The following is a 12,510-nucleotide window of genomic DNA, read 5'->3' as shown; positions in this document are numbered from 1 at the left end:
TAATGGTATACAGTGGTTGAACATTTTTAAAAATGAAAAATAATATCCAATGAAACACCGAAAAAAAGAAATTGATTGGCTGTATTAATAATAGATAAAGCAAACTTCACAGCAAATAAATTTGCCAAGGAAAGAGAGGAACATCACATTATGATAAAGTGGTCAATCCACCAAGAAGATATAGCAATCCTAAATGTGTATGTACCAAACAATAAAGTTGCAAAATGTGAAGCAAAAACTGATAGAGTTGAAAGAGAAATGGATAAATCCATAATTATAGTTGGCAACTTCAACTCCTCTCCCTCAACAGTTAGGTAGAACAACTAGACATAAAATCAGCAGGAATGTAGAACTCACCAACATCATCAACCAGCAGGATCTAATCAAGCTTTACAAAAGACTTCACTAACAAGTAGCAAAAAGCATCTTCTTTTCAAGTGGTCATAAACATATATTTAGGTAGACCGTATCTTGAGCCATATAACAAGCCTCAACAAATTTAAAAGAATCAAAATCAAGCAGAGTGTGTTCTCTAACTACAATGGAATTGAACTAGAAATCAGTAACAGGAAGATAATGAGAAAATCTTTGTGATGTTCCTCTCTTTCCTTGGCAAATTTATTTGCTGTGAAGTTTGCTTTATCTATTATTAATACAGCCAATCAATTTCTTTTTTTCGGTGTTTACATGGGATATTATTTTTCATTTTTAAAAATGTTCAACCACTGTATACCATTATATTTAAAGTGAGTATTTTGTTGACACCCAAAGGGCAAACTCCAGAAAACTAAAAAGTACACTTCTAAATAATCTATTTGGGCAAAGAGGAAGACAGAGAAAGACAGAGTCTCAACGAAAATAAAAAACATACATTGAACTAAATCAAAATAAAAATATAACACTTCCAAATTCATGGATACAGATAAAGCAGTACTGAGAGGAATTATATATATATATACACACACACACATACATATATGCCATATATATATATATATATGGCACTAAATACATACATTAGAAGAGGTTAAAAGTTTCAAATAAATAATCTAAGCTTCTAGTTCAGAAACCTAAAAAAATTAAGAGCAAAATAAACCCAAAACAAGAAAGAAGGAAATACTAAAGACAAGAGCCAAAGTCCATTACATTGAAAACAGAAAAACATAGATAAAATAAATAAATAAAAGAATGATCTATTTCTTTGAAAAGGTCAATAAAAATGACAAAAACCTAACAAGATTGATAAAGAAAAAAGAGAAGGTATAAGTCACCAATATCAGAAATAAAATAGGATACACAACAGATCTTGCAGTCATCAAAACACTACAAACAACTCTACATACATAAATTTAACAGCTTATATGAAATGGATCAATTCCTTCAAAACCACAAACTATCAGAAGTCACTGTATATGAAATAAATAATTTAAATAGCCCTATAAGTATTAAGGGAATTAAATTCATAATTGAAAATCTGCCCCCAAAAGACATATATAGTCTGAAATAGTTTCACTAGAGAATTTCACCAAATGTTTAAAGTAGAATTAATGCCAATACTACACAATCTATTCCACAAAATAATAGAGAAGGGAACACTTACTAATTCATTTTTTAATGCTGTTTTTACCACATCCACAAATGTAGTACAAAAAAGAGAAAAATACAGGCCAATATTTCTTATAAATATAGATCCAAAATTCCTTAATGACATATTAGCTAACGGAATTGAGCAATATCTGAAAAAAATATTATAAACCATGACAAAGAGAGTTTTATTGCAGGGATGCAAGGCTGGTTCACTGTAATCCATTGTATTAACAAGGTAAGGATGCTACAGAAAAAGATCATATCAACAAATGCAAAAAGTCACTTGACAAAATTCAATATCCATTCAAGACAAAAACTCAGAAAAATAGGAATAGAGGAGGACTTCCTCAACTTGAAAAGAAATACCAATTAAAAGCTACAACTAACATTAACTTAATGGTAAATATGGAATGATTTCCCCCTAAGATTGGTAACAAGGTAAGGATGTCTGTTCCTATTACTTTCACTCAACACAGTGCTGGAAGTTCCAGCTAGTGCACTGAAGAAAGGAAAGGTGATAAAAGTCACACAAACTAGAAAGAAAGAAATAAAACTGACCCTATTTGCAGAAGACATGAAAAGCCAAAGAAATTTACAAAAAATTCCTAGAACTAATGAATTCAGAAAGCTTCAAGATATAAGGTTATACAAAAATCAATTGAATTTCTGTATATTATCCATGAATGCTTAGAACCCTACATTAAAAATATAATGTCATGTACAATAACCTAAAAATAAAATACTTAGTTGTAAAATATATTACACCTGTATATTATCCATAAATGCTTAGAACCCTACATTAAAAATATAATGTCATACAATAACTTAAAAATAAAATACTTAGGTGTAAATATAACAAAGTATAACCAAATTTGTAGATGAAAACAACACAATCTGATGAAAGAAATAAAAGAAAATATAAATAACCAGAGAGGCATACCATGTTCATGGATTGGAAGACTCTACATAGTAAAAATGTCAACTCTCCCTCAATTGGTATACAGGTTTAATACAATTTGTATTAGAATCTCAGCAAATATTTTTTAAAAATAGACAAGATTATTCTAAAATTTATGTGGAAAGGCAAAGGAATTAGCATAGCTAAAACAATTTTGATAAAGAACAAAGTGGGAAGACTCAGTCTACCCAATTTCAAGACTTATTGTATAGCTACAGTAATCAAGACTGTGTTTTATTGGTAGAGGGACAGACCACAATGCTCAGTGGAACAGAACAGAGAACTTAGAAATATACCTACGAAAATAAGCCCAACTAATTTTTGACAAAAGTACAAAAACAATTCAATGGAGGAAGGATAGATTTTTTAGAAAATTGTTCTGAAGCAAGTGAATATCATAAGGCAAAAAAGTAAACCTCAACCTAAGATGAGTCTCACAAAAAAAGTAAACCTCAACCCAAAACAAAAATTAACTCAACATGTATCACAGGCTTAAATGTGAAACATAAAGCTACAAAACTTTTAAGTAAAAACAGGAGAAAATTCTTCTGATCCTGAACTAGACAAAGAGTTATTTAGACTTGACATTGGTTTGACTGATTAAAGAAAAGTACTAGTAAACTCAACTTCATCAAAATTTAAAACTTTGCCTTGCAAAAGATCCTATTGAGAGAATGAAAAGTCAAACTACTCAATGGGATAACTTTTTGCAAACTACATTGTCTAAGAAAGAACTTTTGTCTAGAATACAGAAAGAACTGCCAAAACTCAACAGTAAAAACGAATAAGCAATCCATAGATAAAGCATAAAGAAACATTTAACTGAAGAAGATGCAGATGGCAATTACGCACATAAAAATATATTCAACATAACTAGCTGTTATGGAAATGCATATTAAAAGCACAATGTGGTATCACTACACACCTATCAGAACAGTTAAAATAAAAAATAGTGACCACACCAAATGCTGGGGAGACTACACAGTCACTGGATTCCTCATACAATCCTGGTGGGAATTTAAATGGTGCAGCCTCTTGGCAAAGAGTTTGTCAGTTTCTTTAAAGAGTAAACATTCAACTACCACATAACCCATCAATCATACTCCTAGATTTTTATCTCAGAGAAATGAGGACTTATGTTGACACAAAAATCTGTACATAAATGTTTATAGCAGCTTTATTTGTAAGAGCCAAAAACTGGAAACAAATCCAGATGTCCTTTAGTGGGTGACTGATCAAAGAAACTGCCACACCATGGAAGACTACTCAGTAGTGAAAAGAAACAAGCTACTGCTGTATGCCACAATCTGGGTGAGTCTCCAGAGGATAATGCTGGGTGGAAAAAGCCAGTCCCAGAGGATTCCATACTGCATGATTCCATTATATCATATTACTGAAATGACAAAACTGTAGAGATAGAGAGAACAGATTAGTGGTTTCCATGGGTTAAAGAGGTGGTGGGGCAGAAGACAAGTGAATGTGGCTACAAAGGGTGACACATGGATTCTTTACAGTAATGAAGAGTTTCTGTGGGATCTTTGTGGTGATGGGAATGTTCTTTAGGGTCTTTGTGGTGATGGAGATGTTCTGTGGGGTCTTCATGGTGATGGAGATGTTCTGTGGGGTCTTCGTGGTGATGGAGATGTTCTGTGGGGTCTTCATGGTGATGGAGATGCTCTGTGGGGTCTTCATGGTGATGGAGATGTTCTGTGGGGTCTTCATGGTGATGGAGATGTTCTGTGGGGTCTTCGTGGTGATGGAGATGCTCTGTGGGGTCTTCATGGTGATGGAGATGCTCTGTGGGGTCTTCATGGTGATGTGGATGTTCTGTGGGGTCTTCATGGTGATGTGGATGCTCTGTGGGGTCTTCATGGTGATGGGGATGTCCTGTGGGGTCTTCATGGTGATGGAGATGCTCTGTGGGGTCTTCATGGTGATGGAGATGCTCTGTGGGGTCTTCACGGTGATGGAGATGTTTTGTGGGGTCTTCATGGTGATATGGATGTTTTGTGGGGTCTTCATGGTGATGGGGATGTTCTGTGGGGTCTTCATGGTGATGGGGATGCTCTGTGGGGTCTTCATAGTGATGGGGATGTTCTGTGGGGTCTTCATGGTGATGGAGATGCTCTGTGGGGTCTTCGGTGTGGTGGAGTCATTCTGTATCTTGACCGTTTCCATGTGAATGTCCTCCTTGTGATATTGCACTACAATTGTGTAAGATGCTACCATTGTGGGGAGCTAGGAAAAGGATACGTGAGATTTCTCTGTATTATCTCTTAACAGTTGCATGCGAATCTACAATTATCCCCAAATAAAAAATTTATTTAAATTTCCTTTTTTAAAAAAAGCAAATCACAGGCCTGGCTCACACTAAAGGCAAGCGATTTGGAAGAGTGAGAGCCCTGGCAAGGCGGGGTCATGGGGCCACAGGGAGGATGGGGCACATGAAGACCGATATTGGGGATATTGTGGGGCGGGGTGACCCATGGAGGAGCCCCTGATGTGGAGATCAGCAACAGCCATGACTGAGGGAAAAGCTGGTCCTGTTCAGGCAGCAGGAAATTGTCTGGTGTGGCGGAAGGTAACCTATTACCACAGCTGAGAGGAGATGCTACTGGAAGGGTCTGGGGCAGACTACTGAGAGCTGGATGTGCCCAGTGAGGGGGTGTGTGGATGAGCACTCCACACCTGGCCATCTTGCATGTTGCCCGAGCAAGCTAGGCCTTCTTTGTCCTTTCCACAAATGCTGGATCCTCCAAACAGCCCCCGAGGAAGTGGAAGGGAGCCTGATGGATGGGCAGGAGGGGAGAAGGAGGCTGTGCATGCTCCGAGCTGAGAAAGGGGCTACGGCGGGGAGGGGCTCTAGGGGAGGCTCCAGGCCATGCTGGTTTCCTGGGTTGTGGCTACTTCACCGGTGTCCTCCTGTGTTAGTCACTTAGGGCTGCTGTCATGGGGTACCATGAACCAGATGGCCTAAAACAACAGAAACTGATGGTCTCACAGCACTGGAGGCCAGATGTCCAAAATCAAGGTGCCAACAGGCCTGTTCTCCCTCTGAAGGCCCTAGGGGAGGGCTTGTCCTTACTCCTCCAGTTTACAGTGGTCCCAGGCCTTCCTTGCTCATGATCACCTCACTCCAATCTCTGCTTCCATTGCACGAGGTCACCTTCCTGTGTGTCTGCAGTCTCCCTAATTTCTTATAAGTTTACAGTGACTGGAATTAGGGCCTCCCCCATCCAGGATGATTTGCCATGGGATGCCTTCCTTCATCACATCTGCAAAAACCCTATTTCCAAATACGGTCCCATCTGAGGCTCCGGTGGTCAGGAGTTTGGGGAGACACCATTCAACTCCCTGTCTCCCTTCCCGGCCTTTGAGGGTCCTGGCCTGGCCCCAGCCCTCAGGTGGACACCCTCCATTCCCCGGCCCGGGCACCATCCTCAGACTCCCACTGTGGCCATGGGTCTTTTGTGCCGTGTGCTTGGTGGGAGTGGCTCAGGGCCACGCAGGGAGCTTCTCTCGAGGACTCCTTAGGCCCGGTGACCATGGGCAGTCATAGGTCACAGATGGAATTACCCCATTACCTGCAAATGTGAAGGCTGGCAAAAGTGCGGCTTAATCCCATACAAGTGATTTTTTAATACAAAGGAAAAGCCCCATAAAACCTCACAGTTATTCTCCCTAGATCTCTCCCTGTGTGCCCATGGCTGGTGAAAGTAGTCCGGCAATGGGGAGGAGCACACTGCCGGCTGGGAGCCCCTGCGAGCACGCCTGTCCCAGGGTGAGTGTGCACGCGCAGCTGTGTGCGTGTCTGAGGTGCTGTGTGCCTGCAAAGCTGTGTGCATCGTAGTTCCGCCTTTCACTCCTGCACCCGGGTGTTTGCTCCTGCTGTGGGGCGTCTGGTCTTCCGGCTACACAAAGCAGATAGAACTCCTGCCTGCTGGAGCTCACCTCCATGGGGCATTTCTGCTGCGTTAAGTGTACTCCTGAGATGACACCTTGGTCGTGTGCGTGCAGTGGTGTGGGAACATTTGTGCCACGCTTCCTGTGTGCCGGGCCTCAATCCATTGAAAGGTGTGACCCTTGTCTTCCTGATCGGCCTTGTCATCTGGGTCTGAATCCCAGCCATCGTCTAGAGTGGTTCACTGCAGGCATGGAGCTGTCCACTGCCTGGGCGCATTGCATGGGGTGGCCTTCGGCATTGGGGGCAGGGAGGGGGAGAGTCTGCAGGGATCTCTGTCCCAGAGGCTTCTCCAGGCCACAGAAAAAGCACGGTGGAGCAGGGGCAGGACACACGCATGTGGAGTCCCTTTCTGGCCGGACTCGAGTTTGCCATCACGCAGCTCTGGAGCGAGGTGTATTGTGCCCATTGCCTAGAGGAACCGAGGGTGTCAGCCTGGGTCCTAGGGTGAGTGGGGCCAGGCCGCGGATGCCGACTGCAGCCCTGAGCTTGGACACCCACCAGCCCAGCTCTCTCTGACAGCAAACTCTCCTGACCAACTGGCTCCTTCCCTGTCTCGCTCCTCCTCTGGCCCAGCTGTCTCTCCGGCCGCCCTCAGGGACAGGGTGAAAACATTCACCAAGTCACCCTTTCTCTGCCTCACTCCTCCTCTGACCTCAGCATCTGGATTCTGGAATCAGTTGTTAATGCTGCTGGGTACCTGGTGAGAGCTTAGCACACACTTACCGGGGCACCTTAGCTACGCTTTTGCTGAGCAGGTGAGGAAACCAAGGCAGAGAGGGGCAGCCACCACAGGCTCAGCTGTGTCCAGAGCTGGGCTCCCACCTTAGCCTCCAGCCCGCGGATGCCGGGGCCTGTGACCTGCTGGTCCAGCCTCCCTGCAAGATCTGAGGTTCGGGACAGAGCCTGAGAGTGCTGCGGTGATGCTGGCAGGCCTCACCTACCTACCTCTTCTGCAGGGCAGCCACGGTCGGCAGCAGCGTTGGGAAGCTGGCCCCTGTCCAGGAGGACATCCCTTTGCAGACGCTGGCTTTTCTGAGAACATGGAGCAGCCCTGAGCCTCAAGTCCTTCCAGTGACGTCTCTGGGTCACCTGCAATGGCAGGCGACAGACGCAGAGTCGGCTGGGACAGGGAGCAGGGTCCTTGTGTGAAGGTTTTTACTCCACCAACTCTCCCTCCTGCCACCTGGGGGATGAGAAAATCTTCATGCTTGGGTCTCTGTGGACCTCAAGACTGGGCGCTGCATGTGGGGTTAAGGGAGACATCTTGGCTCCAAGCCAGCCTGGCTGGCTTCGTGAAGGGAAAATCTCATTTTCCAGGACAAGAAGGGACGTTTCGTTTGTTTGGCAAAGTGACTGGAGACATGTTGACAGGACGCGTCTGGGCTGAGTGCCGCGGAATTAGCTGGGATTGCTGCTTCCACGTGGGGCAGCTGCTCTCCCCGCGCCTTGTGATGCCCCTCATCATTGCAAGCGGTCTCCTCTCCCACCCTCCCTGCAGCCCCCGCCTTGCCCAGACCCCAGTGTGGCTGCTGACAAAGCACGTGCCACCATTTGTCAAGCCGACCCCTGGCCCCGCAGGCAATTTAATAGCTATGCAGGGCCCTTGGGCCTCAAGTGCAGTGTTCAGACACATCAGGTCCCAGCAATTAGTGCCACGGAGGGATCTTTCAGGGGACTGCAGCAGGCACAGTCAGATTGATAGCTGTTAATTGGAGGGCCAGCTTTCAGCTTCCTGAGCTTCCAGGGAAGGAGAGCACTGAGGCCTGCTTGTCCCGTAGGTGGGCTACGTGAGCTGGCGCCCCTTCAAGCCCATCTGGGACCTCCTTAGCCAAGTCCACCTGTGCTGAAGCTGCAGTTCCTCCAGCCCCCACCCAAGCCCGCAGGCGCGTCTGCCTCCAGCCTGGGCTGTCCTGCCACTTCGGGCCTCCCTCTGCCCCATGCATTCCCCTCTCGCCGAGCCCTTGCATTGATGCAGACTTTGGGCTGTGGATGCAATGCCTGGGCTCTGCCCAGCGGCTTTCTCACCTGCCTTCTGCTGCTCATGGGCCTCGTGCTTCTACCCTGGAGGGTGGGCACATGCCACGGCCTGGACTTTCCCAGGCCCCAGTGGGACCCCAGGGACACCATGGGCCCAGAGCGGCAGGTGCTCCTGTTAGAGCCAATCAGAGCCCTTTCTTGAGAGTGAGATTTGGACACGGGGAGAGAAACCTCTGCTCTGTGTGGGAATTTCCGAGCCAGGGCTAGTCCAGTGCTGCCGTGCTTCCTGCTGGTGGAAAGGGCCTGTGCAGAGGGTGAGGTCACTCCATGACCAAAGCCAGGGACAGGGAAGGGGAAGCAAAGAGACAGGGCCCGGTGTGCATGTGCCGAAGTTCCTCCCACTCCTGCTGGGGAGGGTCTCTGTGGAGGCCCCTCCAGCCAGCCCGGGAGGGAGTGGTGAGCCCAAGCAGTGGACCAGTGGGGAGGGTGCTATTCTAGCCCCATCACTTTCTGTGGGAATGAGGGCACCATGCTTGACTTCTCTGAGCTTCAGTTTTCCCAGGTGTAAAAGGAGGATAAGAAAGTGCCTGTCTCATAGCAGGCTGCGGGATCAGTGGTGGCATCACACGGTGATCACAGCATCTCACGGTGACCGCAGCATCACAGGGATCATAGCATCTCATAGTGACCACAGCATCTCACAGTGACCACAGCATCTCACGGTGACCACAGCATCTCATGATGACCAGAGCATCACACGGTGATCACACCATCGCACAGTGACCACAGCAAAAGAAAAGTCCCTCTCTGGATGACCCCCAGCGTGTGTGAGCGTCGAAGCTGTGGGAGTGAAGGCACGTGAGGAGAGGGGGAGGGTGAGGACCACCCTCGAGCACCGTGCCCTGCATGCCAGTAGTGCACCTGTGCCTGGATCCTGGCTTTGTCCTTTGCTTGTGGAGTGGGCCCATGGTATAGACAGGAGATCTGAGATTCAGGGCCTTACTGCTGGCAGGGGTGACGCTGACCCTGGAACCCTTGAGGTCCTGCCTGCAGTTCCTCCTCCTTTCCCCTGTGTGGGATGGCAGAGATTACATTCTGCAGCACCACAATTTCTGGGAGAGGGAGGGGAGGTTCCCTAGGCCAGGGGTTCTGGGAGGCTTCAGCAAAGGGGAGGCCTGGGCTGGTCTGGAGGGGAGGTGAGGCTACCTCTGGCTCTTGGCTCTGTGGGTGGTACAGCTGTGAACATGGGTGTGCAGATAGTCACTCAGGTTTGTGTCCCACCCCAGTGGCTCACCCTGAATGATCTTTGACTCTGGGCAGAGTTGGCAGGGGCCGTGCCATGCACGCTTCTCCACGGAGCCTCTGGTGAGGCTCTCACTCCTGCACGCTGGCTGTCGAAAGTCACTCCGTCGGCATATTTGCTCAAAAGCTTTGTTTGCATTTGAGAGCGTCTCCATCCACAGAGCCTTAGAGGGAGTTGCCGGGCCAGCCCTTCTGGCACAGATGCTGTGCATGTGAGGTGCTTCTCAGAAGCGGAGCTGACGCCACTCCCTCCAGCGCCAAGCCCCCGCACGGGTGGGAGCATGTGGATAGGCGGGAGGGTATCTCCATGGCGCTACGATTTTAATTTCCGTCCTTACTTGGGAGGGTAAATGATTTATCTCTGCGTGTTTGTTTGGCGTTCGTGATTCCTATTTTGTGGAGTGCCTTTTCATGTATTTTGCTCACTTTTCAGCATTTGGCTTACGATTTCTCTTATCAATTTGAGCTGCTTATATAAGAAGAAGTTAGTGTTGTTGTAATTGCTGCAAACATTTCCTGCCTTTCCTTTGCTGTGTGATTTTGGCTATGAGGCTCTGACATATAGAAATGTAATTTTAGGTTATCAGATGCGGTCCTTGTGTTTGTCTTGGATGCGCAGGAAGTCCTTTTCCGCGCAGGGGCCCGATCAACCTCCGTGCCTGTTTCCTTCTGGTTATTTCAACAGGCTTTCTCAAAAGTTCAAAGGTGAGCCTGATTTTGGAGTAAACACCCCAGTCTAAACACCCCGGCTCCCGGGGCTTGGCCTGGGTTCTTTCCTGTGACATTCCAGGGCTTATCTGCAGGTCTCCCATCTCCAGCTCAGTGACATCGCCCGTGACCTTCCCGGGCCCCTCTCAGATCCTGCCCTCCTGCCACCTGTTCCAAGCAGCCACCCTTCTCATGGGCCAGCCCTGAACTTGTCGTGGCCTCTAGCCTTGTGCTTGACTTGTGGTACCCCCTGCTAATCTCCCTGCCCCTTCCCGGAGCCCATTCCTGGGCATAGCGCATGGCAAGTGCCCGTAAGCAACCACAGTTCAACATGTGCCTTAGAGGGCTGGAAGCTCTCCTCATTGCCTGACGAGGCCAGTATAGAAAGAAATCATTATTTAGTATTGTCCTGGAATCACGGGTCAGAGTCCATGCCAGCCACACACCAGGTGATGCTGGAGGCCCCTCGGGCACCTGCCTTGCTCTGGGGTGGAGGAGAGGATGCTTCCTTTCACAGTGCCCTATGCTCCTTCTGGGGCTGGCCCCTCCCTCTGTGTCCAGCTCCTAGGGAATGGGGGAGCCATCCTCTGTCAAATCTCCACCCACCACCCACCTCTAGCCTGCAGGGATGGCTCCAGCCTGTTATTCCGCAGAGAGGGTGACTCTAAACACCCCGCCCCACCTTGGCTGCTGCCACTCCCGCTCCGCCTTCCAGGGTTTCTGATTGACCATGGCCCAAAATCCAACCTTGACCCAAACCACCTGCACCGGGCCTCATCCTACTGAGGTGCTCAGCACCTGCTCAGCTGAGTGGAGCCCTCTCCCCGGGTCCAGCAGGGTCCCTGTGAGGTTCCCCACAGGACTGGTCCAGGCGAGGGGGTAGAGGAGGCCTTCTGGCTGCTCCCATCCACTGTGCCCTGGGCACAGGCTCCCTCGTGGCTCTTCATGATAGCTTGGTGCCCCCTCCAAGGAGAAACCATACTCTGCGGCAGCCCCGCTTCCTCCCGTTTTCTCTGGGCATGATGTGGTTTGGCACCACCTTCCAGAAGGTGCACTCCTGTGCCGGAGCCTGGCACTTGCCGACAGTGACCCAGCTCTCAGTGCAGCTCCCGTGGGTGGCAGCTCCACCGCTGGCCCTCAGCAGCATCACTGGACCTCATGCCCATGAGTCCCTTCAGGTCAGGGCCACTCCTCCTCATTCAAGGGACACAGACAGCAGCTCTGAGAGGTGGAGCAGCTTGCCCAAGACCAGCAGCCAGGAAGGCAGACACAAGGTCCTGCCCGAGCCGTCTGTGGCCAGTCCTGGGTCCCGGACATCGTGCCCCAGCCATTCCCAGCATGACTGGATGTGTGGATGTGGTTCAGATAACCTGGCCAGGAGTGTGGGCCGGGGCCCATCCTCAGCTGGGCCACAGCTCCCGGGCAGCCTGACTCCTTGTCCCTGCCTCATCTTGCTCAGGACAGATCCCAGCTGGATGAGTGTGGACAGCTACGGACTGAGCTGCACTTGTGGTCTCCAGGGCTCTCGCCGCCCGTGGACCCCGGCCCACCCCGTGGCCATGGCAAAGATGTGGATTCATGGTCAATGAATGGGTCATTGTCCTTGGGCACTCCTGAGGTCCCAGCTTTTCTAAGATAAAAACAACAGACATCCAAAAATGTGTGAGGCAGAGCTAATCTCCAAGGCAGTAGTTTCATGCAACAAGTTGAGGAAGTTGGCTTTCTAGGAAAAGACACCTCCCCTCCACCCCCAGGCACATGGGGGTTTGTGCATAGGTGCAAATTACCACCAAAGCCCAGTAGTTTCTTGAAGAGGAAGTGAGCCCTTCTGTCCTGCCCCTGGAGGAGCACCTGCAGCTGTAGGAGCCTATGAATGCAGCCAGTGCTGTAGGTCAAGGGCACTCAACCCCTGTCAGCAACCAGGCTGTGCAGCAGGAGGTAAGTAGTGGGCAGATGAGCAAAGCTTTATCTGTACTGACAACTGCTCCCCATGGCTTGTGTTACTGCCTGAGTT

At 48.5% G+C, this 12,510-nt stretch overlaps 1 annotated feature.

The window, feature by feature from the left end:
* Nucleotides 11,320-12,279: an enhancer, noted in NCBI's record as "H3K27ac-H3K4me1 hESC enhancer chr8:143123379-143124338 (GRCh37/hg19 assembly coordinates)". NCBI's record gives its function as "activates a minimal SCP1, AML or CMV promoter by ChIP-STARR-seq in primed H9 embryonic stem cells {active_cell/tissue: H9 hESC(primed)}" and the evidence as "EXISTENCE:reporter gene assay evidence [ECO:0000049][PMID:30033119]".

This window comes from Homo sapiens, chromosome 8 (genome assembly GCF_000001405.40).
Source record: "Homo sapiens chromosome 8, GRCh38.p14 Primary Assembly".
NCBI classification, from domain to species: domain Eukaryota; kingdom Metazoa; phylum Chordata; class Mammalia; order Primates; family Hominidae; genus Homo; species Homo sapiens.
Note: the sequence above shows the minus strand (reverse complement) of the source record. Positions and strands in the feature narration are given on the sequence as shown.